At 40.3% G+C, this 19,501-nt stretch overlaps 1 protein-coding gene across 3 annotated transcripts in view, besides 2 other annotated features; it reads right to left on the bottom strand.

Annotated features, from left to right (window-relative positions):
* Window positions 1–19,501, bottom strand: part of FAF1 (Fas associated factor 1) — a 523,240-nt gene that overhangs the window by 472,468 nt on the left and 31,271 nt on the right. The gene's annotated exons all lie outside the window — the stretch shown is intronic.
* Window positions 637–1,205: an enhancer, noted in NCBI's record as "H3K27ac-H3K4me1 hESC enhancer chr1:51375804-51376372 (GRCh37/hg19 assembly coordinates)". NCBI's record gives its function as "activates a minimal SCP1, AML or CMV promoter by ChIP-STARR-seq in primed H9 embryonic stem cells {active_cell/tissue: H9 hESC(primed)}" and the evidence as "EXISTENCE:reporter gene assay evidence [ECO:0000049][PMID:30033119]".
* Window positions 1,206–1,774: an enhancer, noted in NCBI's record as "H3K27ac-H3K4me1 hESC enhancer chr1:51376373-51376941 (GRCh37/hg19 assembly coordinates)". NCBI's record gives its function as "activates a minimal SCP1, AML or CMV promoter by ChIP-STARR-seq in naive H9 embryonic stem cells {active_cell/tissue: H9 hESC(naive)}" and the evidence as "EXISTENCE:reporter gene assay evidence [ECO:0000049][PMID:30033119]".

Genomic DNA, 19,501 nt, shown 5'->3' on the forward strand with positions numbered 1-19,501 from the left:
TCACTTTCAGGTACACCAATCAGATGCAGATTTGGTCTTTTCACATAGTCCCATATTTCTTGGAGGCTTTGTTTGTTTCTTTTTGCTCTTTTTTCTCTAAACTTCTCTTCTTGCTTCATTTCATTCATTTGAGCTTCAATCACTGATACCCTTTCTTCCAGTTGATCAAATCAGCTATTGAAGGTTGTGCATGCATCATGTAGTTCTCATGCCATGGTTTTCAGCTTCATCAGGTCATTTAAGGTCTTCTCTACGCTGTTTATTCTGGTTAGCCATTCGTCTAATCTTTTTTCAAGGTTTTTAGCTTCTTTGCGATGGGTTTGAAGATCCCCCTTTAGCTCGGAGAAGTTTGTTATTACCGATTGTCTGAAGCCTTCTTGTCTCAACTCGTCAAAGTCATTCTCCATCCAGCTTTGTTCCGTTGCTGGTGAGGAGCTGCATTCCTCTGGAGGAGAAGAGGCACTCTGATTTTTAGAATTTTCAGCTTTCTGCTCTGGTTTCTCGCCATCTTTGTGTTTTTATCTACCTTTGGTCTTTGATGATGTTGACGTACAGACGGGGTTTTGGTGTGGATGTCCTTTCTGTTTGTTAGTTTTCCTTCTAACAGTCAGGACCCTCAGTTGCAAGTCTGTTGGAGTTTGCTGGAGGTCCACTCCAGACCCTGTTTGCCTGGGTATCAACAGCAGAGGCAGCAGAAAAGCAAATATTGCAGAACGGCAAATGTTGCTGCCTTATCCTTCCTCTGGAAGCTTTGTCTCAGAGGGGCACCCGGCTGAATGAGGTGTCAGTCAGCCCCTACTGGGAGGTGTCTCCCAGTTAGGCTACTCAGTGGTCAGGGACCCACTTGAGGAGGCAGTCTGTCATCCATTCTCAGATCTCAAACTCTGTGCTGGGAGAACCACTACTCTCTTCAAAGCTGTCAGACAGGGAAGTTTAAGTCTGCAGAAGTTTCTGATGCCTTTTGTTCAACTGTGCCCTGCCCCTAGAGGTGGAGTCTACAGAGGCAGGCAGGCCTCTTTGAGCTGCAGTGGGCTCCACCCAGTTCGAGCTTCCGGGCCACTTTGTTTACCTACTCAAGCCTCAGCAATGGCGGACGCCCCTCCCCCAGCCTTGCTGTGGCCTTGCAGTTCGATCTCAGACTGCTGTGCTAGCAGTGAGCAAGGCTCCGTGGCCGTGGGACCCTCCAAGCCAGGCGCGGGATTAATCTGGTGTGCCGTTCGCTAAGACCATTGGAAAAGCGCAGTATTAGGGTGGGAGTGTCCCGATTTTCCAGGTACCGTCTGTCACAGCTTCCCTTGGCTAGGAAAGGAAATTCCCCAACCCCTTGTGCTTCCCGGGTGAGGCAATGCCCCGCCCTGCTTCGGCTCACACTCCGTGGGCTGCACCCACTGTCCAACAAGCCCCAGTGAGATGAACCTGGTACCTCTGTTGGAAATGCAGAAATCACCCGTCTTCTGCATTGCTCACACTGGGAGCTACAGACTGGAGCTGTTCCTATTTGGCCATCTTGGAACCTCCTTTCACCTTCCTTTTTCTCCTAAGGTAACCACTATCCGGAATTTTGCTTTATTTATTTATTTACTTATTTATTTTTGGAGACAGAGTCTCACTCTGTCACTCATGCTGGAGTGCAGTGGTGTGATCTCAGCTCACTGCAACCTCTGCCTCCCCAGTTCAAGCAATTCTCTCACCTCAGCCTCCCAAGCAGCTGGGATTACAGGCCACACCACCATACCCAGCTAATTTTTCTATTTTTAGTAGAGATGGGGTTTCACCATGTTGGCCAGGCTGTTCTGGAACTCCTGACCTCAAGTGATCTGCCTGCCTCGGCCTCCCAAAGTACTGGGATTACAGGTGTGAGCCACCACACCTGGCTGCCTTTATTATTATCTTGTTTTCTTGAGAAAAACTTCTTCCTGGCTGGGCGCGGTGGCTCACACCTGTGATCCCAGCACTCTGGGAGGCCAAGGCAGGCGGATCACTTGAGGTCAGGAGTTTGAGACCAGTCCGGCCAACATGGTGAAACCCCATCTCTACCAAAAAACACAAAAATTAACCAAGCCTGGTGGCACCTGCCTGTAGTCTCAGCTACTCGGGAGGCTGAGTCATGAGAATGGCTTGAACCCAGCAGGCAGAGGTTGCAGTGTGCCAAGATGTTGCCACTACACTCCAGCCTGGGCAACAGAGTGAGACTCTGTCTCCAAAAAAACTATTTCTCCCATGAATGGGTAAAATAGCCATAAAATTTGTACTTGGGCCAGGCATGGTGCCTCACGCCTGTAATCCCAGCACTTTGGGAGGCCAAGGTCGGTGGATCACTTGAGCTCAAGAGTTCAAGACCAGCCTGGGCAACATGACGAAACCCCATGTCTACAAAAAACATACAGAAAAATCAATCAGGCATGGTGGCATGCCCCTGTAGTCCCAGCTACTCAGGAGTCTGAGGTGGGAGAAACGCTTGAGCCTGGGAGGTCAAGGTTACAGTGAGCCGAGATCTCACCACTGCACTCTAGCCTAGGTGGCAGGGTAAGACACTATCTCAAAAAAAAAAAAAGGCAGAGTATTTAGAGGACCTGACGCACAACGAAGCACACTATTATTGTCAGTGCTTCAATGGTGACAACAACATCATTTCAAAAATACCACCAACTTCAAAATTATGGAGAGAGAAGGGCTTGAGCTGCCGCTAGACAAGTCACTATTACAGAAAGCACAGGAGACAGGAATGGTGTATTAAAGTGTTTACGGTGTTGTCCTCATCCTTCCTACATCAGATTTACCTGAGATGCTTGTTTAAAATACAGGTTTTTAGACTCTGTCTCAGACTACTGAATCAGACTTTCTAGAAGTAGGATTCTAGAATCTACATTTTACAGAGTATCTTGGGTGATTCTTACATTGATTAAAGTTTGAGAAGCACGAGTATAGTGGAAAAGGAGCCTTGCCCACCACCTGCCCCATCTAGGTGGTGGTATTCTTAGAAAACCACTTTAACTCAGTGCAGAAGTTTTAGTGTTGTTAAAAAGATGATTGAATTATACTAAACCTTACTAAGCTTAGTGTGTTGTTCTTTTTAACATCATTACTCTGGTTATCACAACCTACACAGATGCTTGAATTGGCAGTGTGTACTCAGAAAAATCATGTCTCTCTACTGTTTCCCAAAAGAAGTTGCCACATGACTCTACACTATGCAATCTACTCACATGTTTATAAATGCTTATAAATGCCAGTGCCACAGTGTAGGTGCATGCACATTTTGTCAAACAGCGGTTTAGTATTTGAAAATATCAATCAATTGCTTACCCATTCTCAGTTTCTTAAATAACTTTTCTTTAAAAGTTTTTGTTAAAACTTAAATTTAAAAAAAAGATGAAGTGTAGAAGCCACACCAAAACTGAATTCTGATAAACTATGTTTCATACAACATTCCCTTCATATAACAAGTTATGCATACATTCAACTCAACTAACAGAAATGAACCAGCCAGTTAGTGAATTGGGGCATTCAAGCCTTAAAAAGCCTTAAACATTTTGGTGCTGCATTTTTTAAAGCACCTCTAAAAACACTTATAAAAATGCTCTGTCACTTATTATAGCACTTACTACACAGTTTTATAATTGCCTGTTTGTGTGTCTCTCTTCCCCACTGTACTATACATGGCATGAGTGCAGGGATTATGACTATCATGGTCAGTGTTATAACCCAATACATAGCAAACTGCCTGGGACACAGTAGATTGTTCAATTAATACTTGTTAAAAGGATGAATGGATCGACTTTATACAAATACATTTCTTTTGCACTGCTCAGATATTTTAAACACATTAATTCATAATTGCCTCATCATCCGTACAAGAGAAGGTACACCAATAAGAAAATACAAGCTTAAAGAGATCAAGTGGCATGTGCAACTTACTCAGCTACTTGGTGGCAGAACCAGAATCTGAATCTAAAGCCACAACACCAAAGGGCTGAATCTATCCATTAGAGACCTTGCAGATTTCTTCAAGATGTTAACATCAAAAAAGGAAGAGAATCTGTATCACAGTTTTACAAAGACTTGAATTGTTTTCAAATTTCATCAAGAGTAAACTGTCAGCAACAGCAGATAATTATCAATCAAAATAATGACAATAATATATGTCTTAATGAGTTTCTAACAGAAGTAGTCTGTACACATTATATTGGGGGAAAAAATGAGAAGGAAAGAATTTGTCTATTACTTTCCAAAAGACTAAAGATATCGTAAAGATACTAAAAAATAGTACTGATGGAACTGATGGATGAATATCCAAACAGCAGAAATAGAGCAGGAAGAACTTCCTAGACTTACTATGGCCTGAGTAAACCATCCCCCAAACCAATGCAGGTAATTTGTTCTGTTTCCATGCTCACCAATCCATGTTCTGATGACCAAATTGGTTTTTCAGGTATCCTACCAGGAAGAAGATGCTCTGAATAATGATTACAAGTCCTGTGGTCAATGTAAAAATGTCTATCTCTTTGTAAATTAATATTCCACACAACAGATCAATCTCCTGTATATCTGTTACTCTGAATCTATTTACCAGAACATTAACACTGATGGATGACAGAAAAAAATCAAATATTTAAGTCTGCAAAGCAAAGGACGAGACCATGGATTCCTGATGACTCAGCCAAACTCTTATTTTTTCAGCCACATTTCACAGAAATATCAGAACCTGGTATTAACAGCTATGATTTAATTTTAGCAGTGTTTTAAAGTTAGATCTTCTCCATTCATCAAATACACCAAAGAGGAAATTTGGTTTATGATACCAAAGGCATGTAAATAAGTATACAAAACTATATAGGCCAGTAAGAAGCATTTTTAATATAAGCTAGAATAAAATCAATGCTACTCTCTAATTCTCTACCATCAATTCTTAATTCTTCTTCAAGCTTACCCACTGGCAAACTGCTTTTCCAAAACTATTCTAGTTAGTGCATCAAAACAAAAACCCTGATTTACTTAGCACATTTCATTTTGAGAATGTGACAGATAAAACAGGCAAAAGATGACAGACTTTATGCCTTTATGCTTAGGCTACTGAAAAACACAGTTATGCCTATTCTGTTATCTTCTGAGTAAATGTATCAATCACTGCGCATTTAATTATATTTTGTCTTACTCTACTATTTGCCTTATAATGTTATTCAACTTCTTTCTTGTCTATTTCTGATCCCTCCCACATAACTGAAAAAGCAATAGAAGGGACAATGTGCTATACTTAACATATCCCTTCTATCTCGCTATCAAAGTAATGTCCAAATGGTCATCCTAGACCTCCCCTTTCATCTCATTCCCTAGATCCAAACAAATCACTATCAATATATGCATCCACCTTTTTCATATCCTTGTTTTCACCAGCCTAGACTAAGCATGTTTCTCTCTATCCTTGGATTTCTGCAATAGTTTCCTAACTGGTCTTCCTAAATTATGAACTCCCAAATCAGCTCTCCACATTGCAAAGTTTTTAAAACACATCTGAACTTCTGGTTTTAGGCTCACAGAGGAAGATGCTTCTGTCCTCTTCTACTCTTCTTTTTCATCACTTAAAAACAAGAACAGCTGGGCATGGTGGCTCATGCCTGTAATCCTAGCACTTTGGAAGGCTGAGGCGGACAGATCACCTGAGGTCAGGAGTTTGAGACCAGCTTGATCAACATGGAGAAATCCTGTCTCTACTGAAAATACAAAATCAGCTGGCCACGGTGGTACATGCCTGTAATCCCGGCTACTTGGGAGGCTGAGGCACGAGAATCGCTTGAACCTGGGAGGCGGAGGTTGCAGTGAGCCAAGATCACGCCATTGCACTCCAGCCTGGGCAACAAGAGCGAAACTCCATCTCAAAAAAAAAAAAAAAAAGAACAACTTACTGAAAAACAAACTCCATCTTTCATTCAATAGAAGATATCTATATCCCTGAACCATGTTAGGATGCAGTTAAAAATAGTCAACCACTTAGACGAGTAGAAGATAAAACCTAACTGTTTACAGAGATGATGTCTGGTAAATAAGCTGATTTGCCCTGAAGAAAGGCTCAGGAATGGTATGTACCAGGTACCTCAGGAGGCAGAGGTAAGGCAGGGGGCTGAAAATAGGAGATTTTTTTTTTTTAATCCACAAGGAACCTCCCAGTTCCCAAATTCCATCTTCACACAGTGAAGCAACTAACCTTCCTCTTAACCTTCTTACGAGAAAAAAGGTATGTATTCTAGAGATGTTGAAATAAATATTTCAGGCTCATGAAAATTAGTCCCATAGGAGGATAAGAGTGAACTGTTGGACTGAAAATAAGGCTAAGTCAGCATTCTGAAAGGTGAGATCCACAGTCCCTATTCCCATCCAACTCTAGAACACTAGTGGACAAGCAGGAACCTTTAAAAATCCTTTTTTTTTCCCCTAAAGCTGAAAATAACTTCATACACTGACACTTGGATGTTCCCAAAGAAAAAAGCGAATCAAACAATAACCTTAAGAGATAATACAGCCCTCTGTTTGATAATTCCAGCCCATGTCCTCTGAGCTTCTAAGTAATTTTTCAGTACATACTCTTAAATGTGAATAGATAATAAAAGCACCAGACATTTGAGGAAAGCCTAGCACATGAAAGACAGACAAAAACAAACAAAAGGGGGTCGTAGGAGGAAGGGTAGAATGCAGGACAGGCACCATGCTAATTCTTATACTTACTATTTACTGTTGATATTATTCAGTCTTGATAACATTCTGTAACTTATTATTCCCATCTTCTAGATGAGGAAATGACACAGGATTAAGTAAATTATTCAGTCACACAGCTAATTTTGTGGTAAAGACAGGAAAGGAATCCAAGGCTACCTGACCCCAATACCTGGGCTTTTAACCATAAGCATTACCATTCCCTTTAGGACTTATCTTCACATACAAACACCTCGATTTCATAATAATGATGCCTCTTTCTTGTGGCACTACCCTCCTCCTAATGGACAAGTTGAAAGTGCTTTCTCAGAGTTCTAGAGCCCCACTTCCTCAGGAGCCTCAATGTAAAATGAACCTCTCTAAACGTAGAAACAAAGATCTTCAAACTGTTCACAGCATAATAATTTCCCATATGACATACTCCCTGACAGGTTGCAAAGGTCTTGACAAATGAAAGGAGAGGAGCACTAACAAATCATAGATTGGAAAGAGAATGGAAGCCTTCATATTACTTCTCCTAGAAGACTTAGGGAAACATAGAAATGAAGTTTTAATAATCAAATGCTGCTGAGAATAGTAATTATTAGCAAAGGACAGAATTAATGTCAATAAGTAAGTAAAGACAGTATCTATCCTATCCATTCATGGATTAGAAGCAAAAGACAGAAATAAAAAGCAGATAGATCAAAGGAAATTAAAGATAAGGAGAAATGAACCAAGCTGTAGTTTTAATTTTTAATTAGCCAAGTCCTAGGTAACTGGCAATGAGAGAAAGTTTCTGCCAGATGAATCGTGATAACTACAATGTCCCGAATCTATCACCCTAAGAGAATCAGCTATCAAAAAAGACAAGGAAAGGAGGAAGAAAGAACAGTGAAAGATGATGGCTTATGCTTGGGTAAACAGCAAAACTTAAAATCCAAACTATTTTTAAAAAGTATTCTCATCAATGCATTCAAAAGGTTTTGGTTCCAGATGGGCTAGAGTAGCTTGCAGAAGACTAACTCTTGCTGAGAACAAATTGAAAAGCTGAAAGATACACTGCAATCATCTATTTGCAGGCTCAGAAAAGCTTCTTCACAGAGGCAACAAGAACAAGATGGTATAAGATCCTGAAATCGAGAGAACTTAAAGAGGAAGCTGACTTCTGCTAGGGACTTTTTAATTCCGAGCAAGAACTTGAAAATACAGGCTTTGCATCAACAGAACCAACAAATAAAAATAGAAACCAGCAGAGATTTTTGCAGCAATCAGAGGGCCTCAAACATAATGCCAGATTTTTTGCCAAGCAACATTTGCTAAATTCAATGTATTAATGTATTCATTGAGTCAGATAACTAAAAAGCTTAATTTAGTTAGAAGCCAAGGAAAGGAAAAAGGAAAGGAAAAGAAAGGAAAAAGGAAAGGAAAAGGGAAAGGAAAAAGGAAAGGAAAGGAAAGGAAAGGAAAGGAAAGGAAAGGAAAGGAAAGGAAAGGAAAGGAAAGGAAAGGAAAGGAAAAGAAAGAAAACCAACATAGTTTTTGGCAGTTTTACAAAACAAAATTACACATCAGGACCAGCCAGGGTTAAGACCTCAGACTAAACACCAGAATCTAAGGTGAAATAAAAAGGTAAGTCACACACTGGGAGAAAATGTTCGCAATACATTTATCTGATGAACCTCAGAGGCATTAAGCTGAGAGAAAAAAGCCATACTCAAAACAGTGCATGCTGTATGACTTCATTTACATGAAGTCCAATAACAGGCAAACGTAATCTACAATAATAGAAATCAGACCTATGGTTTCACACAGGACATTAAGAATGATTGAGACTATGAAGAAACCTTTCTGGCCTCAAGTGATCTGCCCACCTCAGCCTCCCAAAGTGCTAGGATTACAGGAGTGGGCCACCACACCCTGCCTATATAATTATTAAAACTCATCAAATTGTCCACTTACAAAGAGTACATTTCACTGAATGTAAATTTCTTTTTTTTTTTTTTTAATTTTTTTTTTTTAATTATACTCTAAGTTTTAGGGTACATGTGCACATTGTGCAGGTTAGTTACATATGTATACATGTGCCATGCTGGTGTGCTGCACCCACTAACGTGTCATCTAGCATTAGGTATATCTCCCAATGCTATCCCTCCCCCCTCCCCCGACCCCACCACAGTCCCCAGAGTGTGATATTCCCCTTCCTGTGTCCATGTGATCTCATTGTTCAATTCCCACCTATGAGTGAGAATATGCGGTGTTTGGTTTTTTGTTCTTGCGATAGTTTACTGAGAATGATGGTTTCCAATTTCATCCATGTCCCTACAAAGGACATGAACTCATCATTTTTTATGGCTGCATAGTATTCCATGGTGTATATGTGCCACATTTTCTTAATCCAGTCTATCATTGTTGGACATTTGGGTTGGTTCCAAGTCTTTGCTATTGTGAATAGTGCCGCAATAAACATACGTGTGCATGTGTCTTTATAGCAGCATGATTTATAGTCCTTTGGGTATATACCCAGTAATGGGATGGCTGGGTCAAATGGTATTTCTAGTTCTAGATCCCTGAGGAATCGCCACACTGACTTCCACAATGGTTGAACTAGTTTACAGTCCCACCAACAGTGTAAAAGTGTTCCTATTTCTCCACATCCTCTCCAGCACCTGTTGTTTCCTGACTTTTTAATGATTGCCATTCTAACTGGTGTGAGATGATATCTCATAGTGGTTTTGATTTGCATTTCTCTGATGGCCAGTGATGATGAGCATTTCTTCATGTCACTGAATGTAAATTTCACATAAACCAAAACTTTTTAATTATAAGGAACAAAATAAATGAACTTTTACTCATCAATAAAGGCAGAATAAAAAAATTATGAAGTGTCAGGAATGTTATTTCCTTAATAATTTTGTTTTATACTCTTTAACAAAATGTTTTTAAATACCCAACAGATAGGTTTACCACTAATTCTAACTCCTAAATGAAAAACATGCAAATAATGAAAAATCAAAACAAATAAATTTCCAGATAAACAAAAGCTGAGAGAATTTCTCACCAACAGATCTGCATATAAAAAACAGTAACGGTTTTCATGCTGGAGGGAAATGATACTAGATGGAACTGCTAATCTACACAAAGAGCATCAGAAATAGTAAATGTAAGACTTTTTTTATTATTTCTTATATTCTTTAAAAAACAATTCTAAGCAAAAATCACAGAATGAATTATAAGCTATATAACACGTATAAGTAAAATACATGAAAAGAATAAAATAAAGGCTGCCGGGGGGTAAATAGAAGAATTTTTTTTTTTTTTTTGAGACAGAGTCTCGCTCTGTTGTCCAGGCTGGAGTGCAGTGGCACGGTCTCGGCTCACTGCAACCTCCGCCTCCCGGGTTCAAGCGATTCTCCTGCCTCAGCCTCCCGAGTAGCTGGGATTACAAGCACCTGACACCACGTCTGGCTAATTTTTTTTATTTTTAGTAGAGACAGGGTTTCACCATGTTGGCCAGGATGGTCTCGAACTCCTGACCTCGTGATCCACCAGCCTTGGCCTTTTACAGGCGTGAGCCACCGCACCCAGCCGAAGAATATTCTTATAAAGTTCTTATACATGAAGTAGTATAAAGCAATTAAGAGGAACTGTGATAAGTAAACCATGTATGTTGTAATCTCTAGAACAAGGGTGGGAAAAAAGAAATGTAAGAAGTATAGCAAAGATGAGATCTGCTGGTTTCATACTGTATCAACTCACCTAAACTGAAACTAAATTCCTGAAAATTCCTTCCCTGAGTGGTCTGAGGTCAGGAATGGCCATAACAAAACATGTGCAGGCCAGGCAGTGGCTCACACCTGTAATCCCAACACTTTGGGAGGCTGAGTCAGGTGGACTACCTGAGGTCAGGAGTTCGGGACCAGCCCAGCCAACATGGTGAAACCCTGTCTCTACTAAAAATACAAAAAGTTAGCTGGGTGTGGTGGCACTCGCCTGTAGTCCCAGCTACTCGGGAGGCTGAGGCAGGAGAATCGCTTGAGCCTGGGGGGCAGAGGGTTGCAGTGAGCCAAGATCGCGCCACCACACTCCAGCCTGGGTGAAAGAGCAAGACTCTGTCTCAAAAAAAAAAAAAAAAGTAAAGAAAGAAAATATGCTTTGGAAGGTGGAAGAAAAACAGCAGGCATTACTGCTCCCAAAAAGTGTAGGTACAGCCCCAAGTACTACTGCAGATGACAGACATTGTCCCTGATTGCCTGGCTCATGTCACTGATACGTGGCAGATGCACCCAAGATTCCTCTAAATCCAGGCCAATTTTCCTCATGAACATAGATGCAAAAATCCTTAACAAAATATTAGCAAATCAAATCCAGGATTATGTAAAAAGGATAACAAATCATGACCAACTGAGGTTGCTCCCAGCAATGCAAGGTTGGTTTAACATTCAGAAATCAGTATAATTTACCATATTAACAGAACAAAGGAGAAAATCTATATCACCATCTCACTAGAATATTCAAAAAAATTAATAAACATTCATAATAAAAACTCTTAGCAAACTAAGAATAGAAAGCAATTTCCTTTATCAGCAGAAGGACATCTATGAAAAACCTATAGCTAACACCATACTTAATAGTGAAAGACTGAATATTTATCCCTAAGATTAGGAAAAAGGTAAGAATGTAAAGAATGTTTGCTGTCACCACTTCTATTCAACCTCTATTGTACTAGAGGTCCTATCACAGGCAATAAAGTAAGAAAAAGAAAGAAAAAGTCATAAAAATTGGAAAGAATTATAGCTATCTTTTATCACAGACAAATGATTATATATAGAAAACCCTGCATTCTTTACATTAAAAACCTCTAGAAGAAATAAGTAAATGTATACAGTAACAAAATACATCTATGACAAAAGCCCACTGTGTCCCCCAAAAAATCAAACATACAATTACCATATGAGGTACACACTGTCCAGGGGCCTTAGGTTGGCCCACCCTGCCCACAACCGCCAGAGCCTGGGTGAGCCATCACAGGGCCTAGGGACCGACCTGCCCCACCTGCAGTAGCCAACACCCCCAGATGCCATCCTAGAGCCTGTGGGCTGGCCTGCCCAACTCTGCAACGCACTATCAGTGGCTGCGTGCACCATCCAAGAGCCTGAGAATCAGCTTGACACCTCCTGCCTGTCACCACTGAGGGAATTCTTAACAACAAGACCAGCTCTACAAGAAATGTTTAAGGAGGTCCTACATCTGGAAGTGAAAGAATAAAATCTATCGTCATGAAAACACATTAAAGTGGCCAGGCATGGTGGCTCGCGCCTGTAATCCCAGCACTTTGTGAAGTCAACAAGCGCAGATCATTTGAGCCCAGGAGTTCGAGACCAGCCTGGGTAACATGGTGAAATCCTGTCTCTACTAAAAATACAACAGTTAGGAATGGTGGTGCCTAGCTACTAGGGAGGCTGAGTACATGGAGTAGTCCTAGCTACTAGGGAGGCTGACGTGGGAGGATCACCTGAGCCAGGAGGCAGAGGCATGCAGTAAGCCAAGATCACACCACTGCACTCCAGCCTGGGAAATAGAGCAAAGACCTTGTTTCAAAAAAAAAAAATTTAAAGTATAAAATTCATTGGTAGAGAGCAGACACACAAATGAGAAAGAGAAGAGGACTCAAATGTAACCACTACAGAAAACTACCAAATGGCCAGACGTGATGGCTCACACCTGTAATCCCAGCACTTTGGGAGGCCAAGGCAGGTGGATCACCTGAGGCCAGGAGTTCAAGACCAGCCCGGCTAACATGGTGAAACCCCGTCTCCACTAAAAACACAAAATTAGCCGGGCATGGTGGCGTGCACCTGTAATCCCAGCTACTTGGAAGGTTGAGGCAGGAGAATTGCTTAGAACCCGGGAGGCAGAGGTTGCAGTGAGCTGAGATCACATCATTGCACTCCAACCTGGGTAACAGAGAGAGACTCCGTCTCAAAAAAAAAAGGCCAGGCGCAGTGGCTCACACCTGTAATCCCCACACTTTGGGAGGCCAAGGCAGGCAGATCACCTGAGGTCAAGGAGTTCGAGACCAGCATGACCAACTGGCAAAACCCTGTCTAAACTAAAAATACAAAAATTAGCTGAGCGTGGTGGCAGGCACCTGTAATCCCAGCTACTAGGGAGGCTGAGGCAGGAGAATCGCTTGAACCTGAGAAACGGAGGTTGTAGTGAACCAAGATCGCGCCATTGCACTCCAGCCTGGGTGACAGAGTAAGACTCTGCCTCAAAAAAAAAAAAAAAAAAAAAAAAGAAAAGAGAGAGAGAAGAGAAGAGAAGAGAAGAAAAGAAAACCACCAAACTAAGCTAGGCCGCAGTGGCTCATGCCTGTAATCCCAGCACTTTTGGGAAGCCGAGGAGGGTGGATCACCTGAGGTCAGGAGTTTGAGACCAGCCTGACCAACATGGTGAAACCCCATCTCTACTAAAAATACAAAATTATCCGGGTGTGTTGGTGCATACCTATAATCCCAGCTACTTGTGGGGGCTGAGGCAGGAGAATCACTTGAACCCAGGAGATGGAGGTTGCAGTGAGCCAAGATCACGCCATTGCACTCCAGCCCAGGCAACAGTGCGAGAATCCACCACAAAAAAAAAAAAAAAAAAAAAGGCAAAAGATCAAAAAAGTTGGTTTTTTGAAAAGATAAAAAAGATCAATAAACTGCTCATGAGACTAACAAAAGAAATTCAGAAATGAAAATGAAGTCATCATAACTGATACCAAAGAAACACAAAAGATCATTGCAGGATATTATGAACAGCTATATACCAACAAATTGGAAAACCTAGAGTAAATGGATAAATTTCTAGATACAGATAACTACCAAGATTGAACAATGAAGAAATAGAAAACCTGAACAGAGCCATAATGAGCAACAAGATTGAATCAGTAATAAAGTCTCCTAAGGCTAAGTGCAATAACGCACACCTATAATCTCAATGCTTTGAGAGGCTGAGGTGGAAGGATTGCTTAAGCCCAGGAGTTCATGACCGGCCTGGGCAATATAGAAAAACCCATCACTACAAAAAATATTCCAAAAAAATTTAGCCAGGCAAAGGGGTGCAAAACCTGTAGTCCTAGCCTGAGGCAGGAGAATCCCTTGACTCTAGGAGTTTGAGGCTGCAGTAAGCTATGATCATACCACTGCATTCCAGCCTGGGTGACAGGGTAAGACCTTGTGTCTTTAAACAAAAAAACAAAAAACAAACAAAAACTTCCAAAAAAGAGAAGCCCAGGACCAGATGGCTTCACTGCTGAATTCTACAAAACTCTTGAAAAAAACTAGCACCAACTCTTCTCAAATATTCAAAAAATTAAAAAGAAGGGAATTCTTCCTCATTCCTTCTATGAGACAGCATTACCCTGATATCAAAACCAGGCAAGAACACAACAAAAAAAGAAAACTACAGGTCAATATCCCTGATGAACATAGATTCGATAGAATCCTCAACAAAATACCAGCAAACTGAAATCAATGGCACATTAAAAAGATCACTCACCATAAGTGGGATTTATGCCAGGAATGCAAAGATGGCTCAACATGCACAAATCAATAAATACAGTACATCAAAATAACAGAATCAAGAACCAGAATCATATTTTCATTTAAATAGACATTGAAACAGCATTCAATAAAATTCAACATCCATTTCTGATAAAAACTCCCAACTGAGTATAGAAGAAACATAACTCAATGTAATAAACCCATATATGACATACCCACAGCTAGCATCATACTGAATGGGGAGAAACTGAAACACTTTAATATCTGGAACATGACGAACATGCCCACTTTCACCACTGTTATTCAACATAGTACTAGAAGTCTTAGCTATAGCAACCAGACAAGAGGAAGAAGTAAAAGGTATCCAAATTGCAAAGGAAGAGGTCAAATCATTCTTGTTTGCAGACGACATGATCTTACATATAGAAAACCTAACACTTCACCAAAAAACTCAGAACTGATAATGATAAACAAACTCAGTGAAGTTGCAAGACACAAAATAAACAAAAATCGGCAGTACTTCTACACACCAAAAAGGAACAATTTGAAAAAAAAAAAACAAGAAACCAATCCCATTTACAATAGCTATCAAAAACAACAACAACCTAGGAATCAATTTAATCAAGAAGGTAAAAGACCTCTGCAATGAAAATTACAAAACACTAATAAAAGAGATTGAAGAGAACACAAACAAAGGCATCCCATACTCATTGATTAGAAGAATTAATATTGTTAAAATGACCATACTACCCAAAGCAATCTACAGGTACAGCATCATCTCTATAAAATACCAAGGACATTCTTTACAGAAATAGAAAAAGCAATCCTTAAGTTCATATAGAAGCACAATAGACCCTGAATAGCCAAAGCAATAATCAGAAAAAAAGAACAAAGCTGACTTCAAAATATACAGCAGAGCTATAGTAACCAAAACAGCATAGTATTGGTATAATAAAAGATACATAGGCTAGGCACAGTGGCTCACGCCTGTAAACCCAGCACTTTGGGAGGCTGAGGTGGGTGGATCACCTGAGTTCAAGAGTTCAAGACCAGCCTGGCCAACATGATGAAACCCTGTCTCTCCAAAAAATACAAAAATTAGCTGGGTGTGGTGTTGGGCACCTGTAATCTCAGCTACTCGGAAGGCTAAGGCAGGTGAATTACTTGAACCCAGGAGGCGGAGGCTGCAGTGAGCTGAGATCGTGCCATTGCACTCCAGCCTGGGTGACAAGAATGAAACTCCATCTCAAAAAACATAACAAAACAAAACAGATACATAGACCAACAGAACAGAGAACCTTGAAATTAAAAATATTAATAAATCCACATATTTTTAGCCAACTGATACTCAGCAAAAGTGCTAAGAATACACATTGGGAAAACAACAGTCTCTTCAATAAATGGTGCTAAGAAAAATGGATAGTCATATGCAGAGGAATGAAACTAGACCCCTATCTATCACTACATACAAAAATTAACTCAAAATGGATTAAAGACTTAAATGTAAGACTCAAAACTATAAAACTGCTGGGTGGAATCACGTCAGGACAAAAACACAGACAACAAGAATAGACAAATGGGACTGTACTAAACTAAAAGGCTTCTCCACGGTAAAAGAAACAATCAACACAGTTAAGAGATAACCTGTAGATAGGAAAATACTTACAAATCGTTTGACTAACAAAGAACTAACAACCAGAATATACAAGGAATTCAAACTTAGCACCAAAAAAAAAAAAATCCCACTACTACAAAGTGGGTCAAAGATCTGAACAGACATTTCTCAAACGAAGACATAGAAATGGCCAACAAATATTATCTCACCCCGCTCAGAATGGCTATTATCAAAGACAAAAAATTACAAATGCTGGCAAGGATGCAGAGAAAAGGGAACTCATACACTGTTGGTGGGAATATAAATTAGTATAGTCACTATAAAAAACAGTGTTGCACTTTCTCAAAAAACTAAAAATAGAACTACTATATGATACAGCAATCACACTACTGGGTATTTATCCAAAGGAAAGGAAATCAACATCAAAAGGATACCTATACATCCATGTTTATTGCAGCACTATTCATAATAGCCCAGATATGGAGTCAGCCTAAATGTCCATCAACAGGCAAATGGATAAAGAAAAATGTGGTTTATATACACAATAGAATACTATTCCTCCATGAAAAAGAATGGAATTGGGCCAGATGTAGTGTGCCTCATGCACGTAATCCCAGTGATTTGGGAGGCTGAGGCAGGAGGGTCGCTTAAGGCCAGGAGTTGAAGACCAGGCTGGGTAACATAGCAATACCCCATCTCTATAAAAAGTAAAACAAGTTAGCCAGATGTGGTGATACATGCTTGTAATCCCAGTTACTCGGGAGACTGAGGGGGGAGGATCGCTTAAGCCCCAGAGTTTAACATTACTGAAGCATATGATCACACTACTGCACTCCAGCCTGGGCAACAGAAAGATCCTGTCTCTAAACATAAAAAACAAACAAACAAACAAAACTACAAAGAAAAATAATGAAATCCTATCACTTGCAGCAACATGGATAAGCCTGGAGGATACTATGTTAAACTAAATAAGGCACAGAAAGATAAATACATGCTCTCAGTCATATGTAGGAGCTAAAAAGAATTCTGAGCTCATGGAATTAGAGTATACAACTGTAGATATTGGAGACTGGGAAGGGCAGTGAGAGGGAGAATGGGGAGAACCTGGTTAACATATAAAATTACAGCTAGATAGGAGGAATGAGTTCTGGTGTTCTACAGCGCTGTGGGGTGACATGGTTAACTATAATTTATTGTATATTTTCAAAAAGATAAAAAAGCAGACTTTAAATGTTCTCAACAAAAAAAAAAAGTTTAAGGTGAAGGATATGCTAATTACTCTGATTTGATCACTACACATTGCATATTCTTATGAAAACATCAGTTGTATCCCATAAGTATACACAATTATTACATGTAAACTAAAAATACAAGGGAAAAAATTACCGTATGATCCAGTAACTGCACTTGTGGTTATGTACCCAAAAGACTTTTAAGGAAGCAAGGAGTCAAGACATATTTATCCACCCATGTTCATAGTACCATTGTTGACAATATCCAAAATGTATAAACAACTCAAATGTCCATCCATAAATAAAGAACATGTAGTATGTTCACACAACAGAGTATTGTTGCTCCTTAAAAAGGCAAGAAATTCTGACACATGCTATAAAACGGATGTAACTTAAAAATACTATGTTAAGTGAAACAAGCCAGACATAAAAGAACAAACACTAAATAATTCCACGTCTATAAGTACTCAAACTCACAGAAGCAGAAAGGGGAATGGGGAGTTAATGTTTAGAAGCAGAAAGGGGAATAGGGAGTTAACGTTTAATCAATAGAGTTTGGGAAGATGAAAACGTTCTAGAGATGAGTGGTGGTGATGCCACATAACAATGTGAGGGTACTTAATACCACTGAACTGTATGTTTAAAATGGCAAAAAGGGTAAATTTTATGTTATGTATATTTTACCAGAATTTTTTTTTTAAAGCTTACTGCATGGGGACCAAGCGTGGTGGCTCACACCTGTAATCCCAGCACTTTGGGAGGCCGAGGCGGGTGGGTCACTTGAGGTCAGGAGTTCGAGACCAGCCTAGCCAACATGTTGAAACCCCGTTTCTACTAAAATGACAAAAAATGAGCCGGGCATGGTGGCATGTGCCTGTAGTCCCAGCTACTTGGGAGGCTGAGGTTGCAGTGAGCCAAGATGGCACTCTGCCTGGGCGGCAGAGTGAGACCCTGTCTCCAAAAAAAATAAAAGCTTACTGTGTGGTTTCATATACATAAAGTTTTAAAACTGGCAAAACTAACATATGTGTAATGTCAGAAGTCAATGTACTAAGTTATGCTGAAAGGTGAGGGGTAATTGAATGGAAGAAGGAGGCTTCTGGAACTCTGATTATATTCTTCTTTTTCATTTGTTTAAACAAATTTTTTTTCTTACAATTCTGAGACTAGAAATCCAATATCAAGGTGTCAGCAGTTTGCGTGTCTTCTGGGGCCTCTCTTCTTGGCTTGTTGATGGCTGTCTCCTCCCTGTGTTCACATTGTTCTTCCTTGTGTCTCTATGTGCCCTAATCTCCTCTTTTTCTTTTTTCTACTCGTTACATATTCTGTTCTTTTAACCAAAGAGTTGTTTATATGGATGTGTTCATGTTGTGCAAATTCAAACTATACTGTTAGGATTTGTGTTCTTTGCTGAGTATTATGCCCTCATAAAGTTTAGAATTTTCATTTGCTTCAGTTAATGACAGACTGTGATTTTGCTGAGGTGAGGATCTGGATGATGTTCACAGCCAGACTGGTTTTCAGGAACAAGTCACCTGCCTAGTAAGTGAGCCCTGCTTGAGTCCAACATCCATGCTATGGTGCACTTTTACTGCATGCTCTCTGTCTTTGGCACACAGACGACAATTTTTCTGAAATGGCAAAAATATTGGTTCTATTTCAAAAGTGGCCTCAAAATGAAAGTCAACTTCTACTATAAATAATAGAATGGAAAAGTCTAAGAAAGTAATATGAAAGTCTCTTGAGTATATGGAGAAAAGAACGTCAAGAATCTATACCTTTGTTTAAAAGATTTATTCTACATGTCAAAGCATTTCCAAAGCCCAGCTGCTTTTAGTCTCAGCGGCATTAATTCTTTAGAATAAAAATATCACACTTAAAAGAAAATAGGTGTTCTGTATTTAAAAACTGAGGAAGGCGGCCAGGCGCAGTGGCTCATGCCTGTAATCCCAGCACTTTGGGAGATCAAGGTGGGCGGATCACAAGGTCAAGAGTTCGAGACCAGCCTGGCCAACATAGTGAAACCCCATCTCTACTAAAAATACAAAGTATCAGCCGAGCATGATGGCGGGCGCCTGTAATCCCAACTACTCGAGAGGCTGAGGCAAGAGAATCGCTTGAACCTGGGAGGTGGAGGTTGCACTGAACCGAAATCACGCCATTGGACTCCAGCCCAGGCAACAGTGCGAGACTCCACCTCAAAAAAAAAAAAAAAAAAAACTAGGGAAGGCTGGCCAGGCACAGTGGCGCATGCCTGTAATCCCAGCACTTTGGGAGGCTAAGCTGAGCTCAGGGGATCGAGACCAGCCTGGCCAACACGGTGAAACCCCATCTCTATTAAACATCCAAAGAAATACCCAGGCATGGTGGCGTGCATCTGTGGTGCCAGCTGCATGGGAGGATTGCTTGAGCTC

The sequence above is a fragment of the Homo sapiens genome, chromosome 1, assembly GCF_000001405.40.
Source record: "Homo sapiens chromosome 1, GRCh38.p14 Primary Assembly".
NCBI lineage: Eukaryota > Metazoa > Chordata > Mammalia > Primates > Hominidae > Homo > Homo sapiens.